This window comes from Homo sapiens, chromosome 6 (genome assembly GCF_000001405.40).
Source record: "Homo sapiens chromosome 6, GRCh38.p14 Primary Assembly".
In the NCBI taxonomy this organism is placed as follows: Eukaryota; Metazoa; Chordata; class Mammalia; order Primates; family Hominidae; genus Homo; species Homo sapiens.
Genome location: NC_000006.12, coordinates 88,634,494 through 88,648,812, shown reverse-complemented (window position 1 = coordinate 88,648,812; position 14,319 = coordinate 88,634,494). Strand labels below are relative to the sequence as shown.

The following is a 14,319-nucleotide window of genomic DNA, read 5'->3' as shown; positions in this document are numbered from 1 at the left end:
CTAGAATTGGTTATAAATGTCAAAAGCTGAGGAAAACCTGTGGACTGAGGCAGTTGAGGTAGGATTCACAAAGGAAGCAAGAACTGTTTTGCACTACCAATTAGGAGAATGGTAGGTTGTGAGTGAATGCATGCATGCGTGTTTTTATCTTTCTCTGCCTCTGTAGAAATAAAAGGATGGACAGATAATTTAGGAAAATAGAAAGCAAAGTGTGGAGCTTTGTTCGCCTGGGGTACAAGAGGCATAGTTGGGTAGGTGCAGAGGTTTGTATAGGGAGATAATAGGATGTGAAGAGGTAAATTGGTGTTAGAATTTTTTATTATTATTATTATTATTATTATAATACTTTAAGTTTTAGGGTACATGTGCACAATGTGCAAGTTTGTTACATATGTATACATGTGCCATGTTGGTGTACTGCATCCATTAACTCGTCATTTAATATGTTGACAACAATGCAGACTGCCATAAGAATTTCTAAATTAATATTGGGGGTACTGATATTTTCTTGGTAATTCATACCAATAATTCAGATGGCTTCTTTAGGCCCCAGCTTAAAAAACTAGTAATAAATGGTCATTGCCATGGATGATAACAGAAGGGTCCTGGATTCCTAAGTCTTACAGTCTTACTACCTGTCAGGTAGCAAAATATTTTTATATCTTCTTCACATTATTTGAAGTAATGGTTCCTAAGAGAAAGAAATGGAACTCATATAAAAATAGTTGAAGTTAGTGTTTCTGTTTGTTGTTTCTGATGTTCTGTTACTGCTCAAGTTGAGCTATTATTTGTGACAGGAAGTGAATGCAAACGTAGAGATCCTTTCTTAATGTGACTGATTATATCTTTGAATCTGACAGGTCAAGCCATGGAAGATTCTTCTTTTCCGTAGTTGTTATTTCAGGTATTTTCATCGTTGTTTTGTGTCTTAAGAGTTTAAAATCAAGCCTAAGTCTGTTAGACTTACTTTTCATAAGAGGATTTGATTCAGGAAAAATAGAACAGATTGATTGGTTAAGTTTGTTCAGGGCATGTTTTTCGTTCCCTCCCCTCCTCCCTCTCTCCCTTCCTCCCTTCCTTCTTTTCTTCTTCTTCTTTTTTTTTTTTTTTTAACAGGGTGTCGGTTCTGTCACCCAGGCTGGAGTGCAGGTACAATCACTGCAGCCTCAAACTTTCAGGCTCAAGTGATCCTCCTACCTCAGCCTCCTGAGTAGCTGGGACTACAGGTGCATGCCACCATGCCCAGCTAATTTTTATAGAGACAGGACCTCCCTATGTTGCCCAGGCTGGTCTCAAATTCCTGGCTTCAAGTGTCACCTGTCTTGGCCTCCCAAAGTGCTGGCATTACAGGCATGAGCCACTGTACCCATCTTGTTCAGTACATATTTTCATTGTGAAAGAGAAATCAGATCATTGCACCCTTTTCCCCATTGAAGATGGTAATTACCCTTTGTTATTACATTCACAGCTTTTTCAGAAACTTCACAATTTTGAAAACATAGCATCAAGAGTTTGTGTTGAAAATAAATAATTATTATTTATAAACTATAAGTAACATATAAATCTAAAAGTCGAGCTTCTGTAGCATACTATTACCATTAAACACTTCTTTCAGTGTGTCTCCATGTTAATCTGGAAGAAGAAACCTGTACTCTGGTGTTAGCTGCCCTATAATAGAATTTGCATATATCTGGTTCAATATATAATACTGATGGTCCCCGGCCTCAATGGTTCAACTTATGATTTTTCAATTTATTTATTTATTTACTTTATTTTCATATATATATTTTTATTATGCTTTAAGTTCTAGGGTACATGTGCACAACGTGCAGGTTTGTTACATATGTATACATGTGCCATGTTGGTGCACATTAACTCCTCATTTACATTAGGTATATCTGCACCCATTAACTCCTCATTTACATTAGGTATATCTCCTAATGCTATCCCTCCCCACTCCCCCCACCCCACAACAGGCCCTGGTGTGTGATGTTCCCCTTCCTGTGTCCAAGTGTTCTCATTGTTCGATTCCCAGCTATGAGTGAGAACATGCGGTGTTTGGTTTTTTGTCCTTGTGATAGTTTGCTGAGAATGATGGTTTCCAGCTTCAACCATGTCCCTACAAAGGACATGAACTCATCATTTTTTATGGCTGCATAGTATTCCATGGTGTATATGTGCCACATTTTCTTAATCCAGTCTATCATTGGTGGACATTTGGGTTGGTTCCAAGTCTTTGCTACTGTGAGTAGTGCCACAATAAACATAGGTGTGCATGTGTCTTTATAGCAGCATGATTTATATTCCTTTGGGTATATACCCAGTAATGGGATGGCTGGGTCAAATGGTATTTTTAGTTCTAGATCCCTGAGGAATCACCACACTGACTTCCACAATGGTTGAACTAGTTTACAGTCCCACCAACAGTGTAAAAATGTTCCTGTTTCTCCACATCCTCTCCAGCACCTATTGTTTCCTGACTTTTTAATGATCGCCATTCTAACTGGTGTGAGATGATATATCATTGTGGTTTTGATTTGCATTTCTCTGATTGCCAGTGATGAGCATGTTTCCATGTGTCTGCTGGCTGCATAAATGTCTTCTTTTGAGAAGTGTCTGTTCATATCCTTTGCCCACTTTTTGATGGGGTTGTTTGTTTTTTTCTTGTAAATTTGTTTGAGTTCTTTGTAGATTCTGGATATTAGCCCTTTGTCAGATGAGTAGATTGCAAAAATTTTCTTTAGGTTGCCTGTTCGCTCTGATGGTAGTTTCTTTTGCTGTGCAGAAGCTCTTTAGTTTAATTAGATCCCATTTGTCAATTTTGGCTTTTGTTGCCATTGCTTTTGGTGTTTTAGACGTGAAGTCCTTGCCCATGCCTATGTCCTGAATGGCAATGCCTAGGTTTTCTTCTAGGGTTTTTATGGTTTTAGGTCTAACGTTTAAGTCTTTAATCCATCTTGACTAATTTTTGTATAAGGTGTAAGGAAGGGATCCAGTTTCAGCTTTCTACATATGGCTAGCCAGTTTTCCCAGCACCATTTGTTAAATAGGGAATCCTTTCCTCATTTCTTGTTTTTGTCAGGTTTGTCAAAGATCAGATGGTTGTAGATGTGTGGTATTATTTCTGAGGGCTCTGTTCTGTTCCATTGGTCTGTATCTCTGTTTTGGTACCAGTACCATGCTGTTTTGGTTACTGTAGCCTTGTAGTATACTTTGGAGTCAGGTAGCGTGATGCCTCCAGCTTTGTTCTTTTGGCTGAGGATTGTCTTGACAATGCAGGCTCTTTTTTGGTTCCATATGAACTTTAAAGTAGTTTTTTCCAATTCTGTGAAGAAAGTCATTGGTAGCTTGATGGGGATGGCATTGAATCTATAAATTACTTTGGGCAGTATGGCCATTTTCACGATATTGATTCTTCCTACCCATGAGCATGGAATGTTCTTCCATTTGTTTGTATCCTCTTTTATTTCATTGAAGAGTGGTTTGTAGTTCTCCTTTAAGAGGTCCTTCACATCCCTTGTAAGTTGGATTCCTAGGTATTTTATTCTCTTGAAGCAATTGTGAATGGGAGTTCACTCATGATTTGGCTCTCTGTTTGTCTGTTATTGGTGTATAAGAATGCTTGTGATTTTTGCACGTTGATTTTGTATCCTGAGACTTTGCTGAAGTTGCCTGTCAGCTTAAGGAGATTTTGGGCTGAAGACAATGGGGTTTTCTAGATATACAATCATGTCATCTGCAAACAGGGACAATTTGACTTCCTCTTTTCCTAATTGAATACCCTTTATTTCTTTCTCCTGCCTGATTGCCCTGGCCAGAACTTCCAACACTATGTTGAATAGGAGTGGTGAGAGAGGGCATCCCTGTCTTGTGCCAGTTTTCAAAGGGAATGCTTCCAGTTTTTGCCCATTCAGTATGATATTGGCTGTGGCTTTGTCATAAATAGCTCTTATTGTTTTGAGATACGCCCCATCAATAGCTAATTTATTGAGAATTTTTAGCATGAAGCGCTGTTGAATTTTGTCAAAGGCCTTTTCTGCATCTATTGAGATAATCATGTGGTTTTTGTCTTTGGTTCTGTTTATATGCTGGATTATGTTTATTGATTAGCGTATGTTGAACCAGCCTTGCATCCCAGGGATGAAGCCCACTTGATCATGATGGATAAGCTTTTTGATGTGCTGCTGGATTCAGTTTGCCAGTATTTTATTGAGGATTTTTGCATCAGTGTTCATCAGGGATATTGGTCTAAAATTCTCTTTTTTTGTTGTGTCTCTGCCAGGCTTTGGTATGAGGATGATGCTGGCCTCATAAAATGAGTTAGGGAGGATTCCCTCTTTTTCTATTGATTGGAATAGTTTCAGAAGGAATGGTACCAGCTCCTCCTTGTACCTCTGGTAGAATTCGGCTGTGAATCCATCTGGTCCTGGACTTTTTTTGGTTGGTAAGCTATTAATTATTGCCTCAATTTCAGAGCCTGTTATTGGTCTATTCAGAGATTCAACTTCTTCCTGGTTTAGTCTTGGGAGAGTGTATGTGTCGAGGAATTTATCCATTTCTTCTAGATTTTCTAGTTTATTTTCATAGAGGTATTTATAGTATTTTCTGATGGTAGTTTGTATTTCTGTGGGATCGGTGGTGATATCCCCTTTGTCATTTTTTATTGTGTCTATTTGATTCTTCTCTCTTTTCTTCTTTATTAGTCTTCCTAGTGGTCTGTCAATTTTGTTGATCTTTTCAAAAAACCAGCTCCTGGATTCATTGATTTTTTTGAAGGGTTTTTTGTCTCTATCTCCTTCAGTTCTGCTCTGATCTTACTTATTTCTTGCCTTCTGCTAGCTTTTGAATGTGTTTGCTCTTGCTTCTCTAGTTCTTTTAATTGTGATGTTAGGGTGTCAATTTTAGATCTTTCCTGCTTTCTCTTGTGGGCATTTAGTGCCATACATTTCCCTCTACACACCGCTTTAAATGTGTCCCAGAGATTCTGGTATGTTGTGTCTTTGTTCGCGTTGGTTTCAAAGAACATCTTTATTTCTGCCTTCATTTCGTTATGTACCCAGTAGTCATTCAGGAGCAGGTTGTTCAGTTTCCATGTAGTTGAGCAGTTTTGAGTGAGTTTCTTAATCCTGAGTTCTAGTTTGATTGCACTGTGGTCTGAGAGACAGGTTGTTATAATTTCTGTTCTTTTACATTTGCTGAGGAGTGCTTTACTTCCAACTATGTGGCCAATTTTGGAATAGGTGTGGTGTGGTGATGAGAAGAATGTATATTCTGTTGATTTGGGGTGGAGAGTTATGTAGATGTCTATTAGGTCCACTTGGTGCAGAGCTGAATTCAATTCCTGGACATCCTTGTTAACTTTCTGTCTCGTTGATCTGTCTAATGTTGACAGTGGGGTGTTAAAGTCTCCCATTATTATTGTGTGGAGATTTTTCAGTTTGTGATGGTGTGAAAGTAATATACATTCAGTAGAACTGTGCTTTCCGTGCCCATACAATCGTTCTTTCCCTTTCAGTACTATATTCAGTAAACTATATGAGACATTCAACACTTTGTTATAAAATAGGATTTATGCTCTCTTTTGTGTGTGTCCTTTTTTTTTCAGACCTGGTCAACAGGAAGTATAAATTAGGGTTTATATTAGATGATTTTTTTTCCCAAATGTAAGCTAATGTAAGTGTCTTAAGCACACTTAAGGTAGGCTATGCTAAGCTGTGAGGTTAGGTAGGTTAGGTGTATTAAATGCATTTTTGACTTAATGATATTTTCAACTTACAGTGGGCTAAGCAGGATGTAACTGTATTGTAAGTCAAGGCGCATTTGTACTTCCCTTTTGGAAATAATAATCTTTGACATTATTTTCAAGGTTAGACATTTGCGTTGAGATCAAAGATAATTTTTTCAAACTTAGCTCTGGCATAAACAATTACATGACTTTAATTGTACTAGGTATAGAAGAAAAAGTATTTTTATAAATAGGCAAAATAAATCATTTTTATTGAGCACATATTATGTGCCTAAGACATATTATACCTTCTAGTGTTTATAGCAGTCTTACTAAGTAAATATTGCTTTTATTTTCATGTGAGAAAATGGAAACTCAGAGAGGTTAAATAACTTGCCCATGGTCATAAATTCAGCAAATGATGGAATTGAGATTAGAACTCAGGTTTTTCTGCCTTTCCAACCCCACCCTTTTTGTTCTTATGACACTGTTCTTGTATAAATATTGCTGACTTACATTTGAGAATGTCAGGTATTTCACGGGAGCCAGCACATGCAAGAGTGCATTTTAAAGAAGAACCTCTATAGAAATGTCAGACTGTATATACTTACTTCAGTTATCCAACATCATCATTTAATGAAGTATTTTCCCTGTAGCTTTTTAAAGCAAGCATTTATGTAAAATTTTCCCTTTGATATGTTAGAAGTATCCCTACCTTCTTAAAGTGTTCTGTAATTTATATAACATTTATTTGGGGTATCATATTAGGCTCTTGCTGTGTGCTTTAATAAGGCAGTGGCCTCAGGATTTGTTAAATGTCCTTAAGTCAGTTACTGCCTTGAAAAGTGGTCCATGATTAGTATATTTTTGTAGTTAGTGATTTGCTGTCAGCTGTCATTTCTCAAGGTCAAATTCTGGCAGTTCCTTGCATCCTATTATATACATCCATAAGCTTTGACCTGTGAGCCTAAAGGTATCTCTACACCCTCCTGGAGAAAGATATAGTACTTTGATTCACTGACATTACATTCCTATTTTCTCTCTCTCTCTCTCTCTCTCAAATGACAAGGTAGCTAATTCTTCTGTGTGTTCCTTAAGGCACTATTAACACTCTAGTAGTGCCAGTGTTTGTATGTTTAAAAGACCTACAGACTTACTTTTTATTTCTTTTAAATACATATACTTCTCCTGTGATCGTAAATATTTGAATGTGATGCTACTGTATACTGGCTGTGTATGTGTGAATACAGCCAAGATGACAAAAAGCAGCTGCAGTTATGCTCAGAAAGAGTGTTGTTTCATTTACAGTGGTTTCTTTTCTTCAATGAGTCTGCTGCCTTTACTCAAAAATCTCCCTTTCTTCACTGTGGCAGCAGCTGGAGTCTTTGTTACTGTCACTCACAGCCATACCAAGTGATGAAAAACAGGTTTGAAACTTAAAATACTTCTCTTTCCAACTTAGCTTGTACTCATTGTAAATTCAAGTCTCTCCACCCAAATGACTGAATCAGTTCTGCTTTCTATTTTGTCTGTCAGTGCTTTACTGGAATTTTCACTTTTGTCTTAGCAGTAATAGTGTAGTGTGATTTATAATCCACATTCCTCTATTAAGTCATTCTGCAGATTTAGATCCTTTGCTTGTCTCTACAGCACGGAGCTCATCTGTGGTACCTGAGTGTTTATGGTATATAATCATGCTTACAGTATATTTCAGCTTCACCATGGTTATTTTTTTTTTTTTTTTTTTTTAAGACAGAGTCTCACTCTGTTGCCCAAGCTAGAGTGCAGTGGCGCCATCTCAGCTCACTGCAACCTCCGCCTCATGGGTTCAAGTGATTCTCCTGCCTCAGCTTCCTGAGTAGCTGGGATTACAGGCGCCCGCCACCGTGCCTGGCTAATTTTTGTATTTTTAGTAGAGACAGGGTTTCACTATCTTGGCCACTCTGGTCTCAGACTCCTGACCTTGTGATCCACCCGCCTTGGCCTCCCAAAGTACTGGGATTACAGGCATGAGCCACCGCACCCGGCCGGTCGTCTTAACACAGCAGTATTAATATGAACTGGGAGCTTTTTATCCAACTGGAAACATGGTAATGGCAGATTCTAGGGAGTCTCATAGAAGAAATACATTATTAGGTATGAAAATAACCCAAGCAGCTTATTATACTATGCAGAGGAATCTCTTAAAGAATAGTTTCATCTACTTCTTTCCATTAATAGGGACCTTATCCAAATTTTTATTTTGGGAGCTTACAACATAAATATATAGTGTTAAGTTCTCCTGAATATACATGTAATACATATTCAGAAATAGGTGAACTGTAATGTCACAGCTTTGTCATGGTCATTTGTAACTGGAATAATAATATGCAGATGACTCTTAATTCTTCACCTCTAATCCTCAATCCTCATTCTTTTTTAAAACCTCAGTTTTGAATCTTCAGCTGCCTACTGGGCAGTTAAATTGACAATTTCAACATCACCTCAGATCCAGTTATTTTTGTTGCTCTTTTTTTTTTTTCTTTTCTTTTTTTTTTTTTTGAGACAAGGTCTCACTCTGTCACCCAGGCTGGAGTGCAGTGGTGTGATCATAGTTCACTGCACTATCTCCCAGGCTCAAGAGATCTTCCTACCTTAGCCTCTCGAGTAGCTGGGACTACAGGCACATGCCACCATGCCTGGATTTTTTTTTTTTTTTTTTGTAGAGACAGGGTCTCGGTATGCTGCCTATGTTGGTCTCAAACTCCTGAGCTGAAGTTATCCTCCCACCTTGGCCTCCCAAAGTGCTGGGATTACAGGCATGAGCCACTGCACTGGCCTTTATTGCTCGATAAATGACATTTAATTAATACCTACCACATGTTATGCATCATTCACTCATTAAACTGACATTCATTAAGCATCTTTATGTGCCAAGTACTTTGATAGGCACTGGGATTCAAGTGGTGAATAAGACTGAAATGGTCCCTGCCTTTATGGAGTTTAATGTCTACAGCATAGGGGCTGCTAATTGAATAAATACTTCAGGATTGACTAATACAATGATAAGGAAAATAAGGGGACTCTTCAGATGGAGAGCAAGGGTAGCTAGCCCTGTCTAATGAGTCACAGAAGGCCTCCCTGATTGAAGTCATTTTTAAGCCACGAATTGAAGGGTGTGAAGGAGTTAGATGATTGGGGGCAAACTATTTTTTTCTCTCTATGCCTTAGTTTCCTCATTTGTAGAGATAAAAAGAGAAAACAAATGAATAAATTCCTTAATGCATGTGAAGGTACTTAGAACAGTACCTGGCTCTGAGTGTGGCTGCTGTCTTCATCATCTGTATCGTCATCATTAATCATTCATTCAGGTTTTCAAATAAACATCTATTGAGCACTTACAAAGTACTAGGCATTTTTCAGTATTGTGGTGGGATTCAGAAATGAAAATCATAAAAATCTATCCTTCCAAGGAGATATGTATACAAATAGCTACAAAGCAGAGAGTAATACAGCAAGAACTATAAGGGAAGTATGAGCCAATTTCTGGGCAGGAGCATTCCTTTTTATTTGGGAGTGGTGTATGATTTGTGCCACTTACTTGGCAAGTGCTTGTAAACTGCCTGTGAAATCTTATTTTTTCTTGTTTTCTTATTTACTTTTTGAGATTTTGCCTGTGTATATCTTTACTTGCCACTGAAATTTTTCATGTTGAAGTGAGGAAGTATATATCTCACAGACTGAGATATATGAATAGTAGGTGCTCTGTATGCTGATGAGTAGTCTTAAAAGCCTATTAAACTTTTAATAGTAACCCAGTACCATTTAATAGTAAAATAAGTAACCCAAAAGGGTTACTTACTTTAAAAGCCTCGTAACTGCTTAAGGCCTTTATTATAATAGTGTCACATGCTTTAGAGGGACTCAGTGTAGATGAAGAAATAGACGTTACCTCCTCTAAAATAAAAAAAGTTATTCATGGATGCATCATCTGTTGATTCTACCAAATGTCTGTTCTAATATTTGCTGTAGTAAAGTGACATCTTTGACATCATTTTTGAAATGTATTACCATATTTAACTGAAAAAAACAGAGTAACAGTCAAAATTGGTAATAATTTTAAATTTTGTTTAACATTACCAAAAGTCGTATAATTCAGTTTGGCTGATACAAAATATGAGGCTTAGCAGACAGTTACATATTTCAACAAATTGAAGTTTTCAAATGTTGCTTACATTTCTGTCTTGAGAGAAAACAGTTATTGTGTGGCAAATAACTTATTGCAGTTTTTGAGGAAAGTGTATATTAAAAACATCTGTAAAGATAGTAAAGTACCTCTGTTTAACTGGTAAGAGATCAGAGTTAACGTCTCACTTTTTGTAGCCAATAATATTCTAGCTCTGATTTACTAAAAGAAAATAAAAATAACGAATATTTTATTTTCTAGAATCTTTTGTTTTATGTCTTAATGTGTTACATTCATGATTAAGATGCCAGCTTTGTTTTCGTCTAAACTTTAAAGCATAAAACTGTTCTTTCTAAATTTTCTTTACAATTAGGTAGAACATTGAACTTATCACAACAAAGATACCTTCTGTCTTAGAGATAATAGATCATCCATAAAAGCTAATTAATGGATTTCTTAGTTAAGAGTAGACTTCAGAAATGCCATGGTAATAGGTCTTTGTAGTGGCTTTTAATCTCTTAAAACATGAGGCTTGCATGGGATGAGGCATGAATTAATTTTCCAGCTTTTGACGGAATTGAATTCTAAAACCATCCACATACATATGACAATCACGTCTAAAAAGTAATTAGCTTGCTATAAATACAAGAGATTTCCTGTGAGAAAATTGCTCATACTATCTAACCAATAGAGAAATTTGGCAGATTAGAGAAAAACTATATGTTATCTGAAAGAATAGAACCCTTCAGTTTTTTAGTTTGTTTTGGCTCTTGTGCTTTTTTGCTTAGATTCCATTGTGAGAGAGGTGGCAGGCTGGTTTGACACAGGTTTATGTCCAAAATCTTCATGGAAATTTTCTAATGAATCTATTAAAATGCACAAGGGTGATTTGTCATCCAATTGAAAAGCAGTCTAATCCTTAGGACAAACTTTAGAACTAGAAAAACCTGGTGGGGTTCTCATTCAACTAAGTAGTAGTGGGTATGCCTTGGCTTTTTGTCCATAATGGGAATGGCAATATGCACTTCTTAGAATTACTTTTTGAATTGTATGGAGTTGTGTGGATAAAGCACCTAGCACAATACCAGGCTCATAAAAGTCATTTTTAAAAATAGTATTTCTTTACCACAATCATCCCTCTCCCCTAAAGCAGTTACAAACCATTGCAGATGGGGCCTTATTTTATCATCTTGGGATTCAGATCATTAGGATTCTCAGATGCACTTTCTTTTTACGTGTTTCTTTCCCATGAGAAATTATGACATGACACGAGAAACCGAGCAAGCAAATAACTAAAACCATAGGGTGTTCCTTTGAATATTTGTTTCAGGGACTCTGGCTCTCTGGAATTTGGTATACATTTCCAGAAAGCGTAGGTTGCATGGGGCACTGCTCAGGAGTTACATCTGTGACACAGATATCTAACTTGAGACATTTTGAGATCAAAGCGTTCTGTTTCAAAGCCATGTTTTACTTTGGTTTTAGTTCATAAGTAACCTCATGGAAAAGCCAGCCTTTTCCAATTCAGTCTGAACTGGAACAACAGAATGAAAATAAACCAAATAGTTTATTATTTTTCTTCATTTACTGCCATTAATAGTTTTATGCTAAAGAATATATTGAATAAGAGTGAACCGAATGGCATTTATTTCTTCAGTTTAGTTCTGTTTTCTTGTTGTTTAGTTGAAGGAGAGGGAATGGAAGAAAATTCTTCTGTTTATGTGATATATCATCATACTTTTCTACATAAATTGAGTGCAGAATAACTCCAGGAAATAACAGGAAAGCAAACTAACCAAGTTGAGACCCCCCATGTCTACCAAATGGTTTGTATGTGTTAACTCATTCAGTCCCAGCAGCCACCATCTGGCAGATTCTGAGCACTGTGCTTCAGGTTACATTGCTTAAAAATTGAATAACATAAGGATTGTGAAGTATGGAGCCCAGTGCACATTTATCAAAAGCATCTGATTCAAGATTTTAATCTAGTTCCACCTTTTTCAAAGTTCTTTATATTCTCTTGTAGTATTCTTTCCTAAATTTTCTCAGTAATGTAGCAAGATGAGGAAGATACTAGATAGAATTGTCCTTAAACTGCCTGCTATATAGTTATCTGTGAAGAAGCAAAAGGGAAGCAGTGTGGTATGTTGAAAGGAACTCAGGATTGGAGGTGAGATTTGGGGTTCTTGTCTTTGTCTTAAAAAAAAAAAGTTGTGTTTTTGTTTTTTATAATTAATAATGTGTTTTTTCATTAAATCATGTCCAGGATCCTTTCTAGTTTTTTTTTTTCCCCTTAAACCAAAACCATAATACCATCATTAATAATTATTTGACCTTAAAGATCTATAAAAGAAAGGTGAAAATATTTAAAGCCAAATTAAATTATTGCTTTGAGAATACTATTCAGATTATATGGATAAGAGCTTTGGAGTAAGCTTTGGAGTAAGAGGAAGTAAGTTTGAAACCTTCCATGACTAGCTGCCTGAGTTATACAAACACTATCTGTGACCTCCTGGTAATATATATCTGCTCATTTTTATAGGTTTGATCTAGTTTACTACAAGGGTGATATATTAGCAAAAATAAATTGGAATTACTCTAAAACAGCCTTCCTTATACCACAGAATTCAGAATAAGTTAAATCTGCAGGAGGCTATAACCAAACTGGTTTTCCTAAAGGAACTGCATCAAATCCAAGGTACTCAACAAATGTATGTATCAGAGAGAGCTTTCCAATGAAGTTCCAGGGGTGGGCCTTCCTGCTCATTCAACAGGGAGGTGCTGGAGATATTCTTAATGGTAGAAGAATTGTAGTTGGTTTCTTTCTGATATAAATGCACTCCCAGGTGGTGGTAAGGGAGGTTCTGTTGATTCATCAGAATATGACTGCACAGTAGCAGGAGCTGAAGAAATACTTGTTGTATAAATGACCTATATCTCTTAAAAAGGAGGATATGCTCCCATTTCTGTACCAAAGAAGAGAAGGCTGAGAACCCTCCATGACTAGCAAACACTATCTGTGATCTCATGGTAGCATATATCTGCTCATTTTTACAAGTTTGATCTAGTTTATCATAGGAGTGATATATTAAGTAGCAAAAATAAATTGGAATTACTCTAAAACAGCCTTCCTTATACCACAGAATTCAGAACAAGTTAAATCCACAGGAGACTACAACCAAACTGGCTTCCCTAAAAGAACTGCATCAACTCCAAGGTACTCAACAAATGTATGAATCTATGAGCATTTTCAGATGCCAGAGTAAATATTAGAAACCACGATTATAAATCTACATATCTGGAAATTAAGAATAATCACATACATACAAATGATGAAATTAAGTATGTGTTGGGCAGTGTGATATAGAGGAGAGACTGCAGGACAATAATCAAGAATGCCAGATTCTGTTCCTGAATCTGTCATATTTTGACTGTAAGGGCAATTGTATATATGTGCATTGAGGGACTGGGAGTTGTTCATCTTTCTAGGACTTGGAAGGTTAAAAGATGAAAGATGAGTTTTCTGTTCCTGTCCACTCCTCAGTTGGAAGGCCTGATTTATTCCTCTGTGTAAATTTTAGAATGTTCGTGTAACCAAATAACAGCTACATGTTTTCTAAAATCTCTGGATTTTGTATTTTCAAATATGTGTGAACACACATAAACATCGCATATACATGTTTATCATATACATAATACATATACTTGTAAGCATACATACATAAGCACACACACAGCCCAAACACAGAAAACAATACAAAGGAATGATTGCTTCTGTGTTTATTTTTGCCCTGTTATTTTATCTAGGCATTTTATAGTTTTCTGAGTGAATAAAAAGAATGGAAAAAGGAGTGAGCCTAGCAAACCACTACTCAAATGTAACCTCAATTCTCCATCCACAATTATTAGCTCATTCAGGAATGTTTTTTCATCCCTTAAGAGTCTTTCCTCCAAAATTCGGTATCCCATTAGAGTAACATAACTCTCTCTGTTAAAAAAGAAAGAACTATTAATAATAACAATAATGTATAATACTTCATTTTAACCTTGTTTGGATTTTCTATCATTTTTCTCTCCACATTGATTACAACATTTCCATTTTCACTCACATATTAAATATTTACTAGTACTTCATCTTTTATATTTTTTAAGTTATATTTTATTTTCTGCAGTTATTTTTTGCAAAAATATCTCCTCTAAGATTCTTTCGTTGTAGTACTTATTCTAATGAAGATTCAAAAGAACCTCCGAATTTGAATTTTGGTCTTATCAGTAGGCTATTCGTTAAGTCATCTATTGGATGATTAATAAAATGATGAATTTTAAGGGACTCGAAGCCAACCCTTTATACACTCAGGGCAGACTCACAGAGGTTTGTCATATGTCTTTTCTCTGTCTGTAGCCTTTTAGCCCTATGCATTCTTAGTGA

The 14,319-nt window shown here is 36.4% G+C and overlaps 1 protein-coding gene across 5 annotated transcripts in view; it reads left to right on the top strand.

Moving 5' to 3' along the window:
• RNGTT (RNA guanylyltransferase and 5'-phosphatase) overlaps nucleotides 1–14,319 on the top strand; it is a 353,722-nt gene that overhangs the window by 314,806 nt on the left and 24,597 nt on the right. For 2 of the 5 annotated variants that reach the window (XM_047419443.1, XM_047419442.1), the window contains exon 15: nucleotides 13,034–13,107. The exons of the other annotated variants lie outside the window; for them this stretch is intronic. In XM_047419443.1, coding sequence (XP_047275399.1) covers nucleotides 13,034–13,107 — 74 coding nt within the window. The remainder of the gene's footprint in view (nucleotides 1–13,033; nucleotides 13,108–14,319) is intronic. 5 annotated transcript variants of the gene reach the window in all.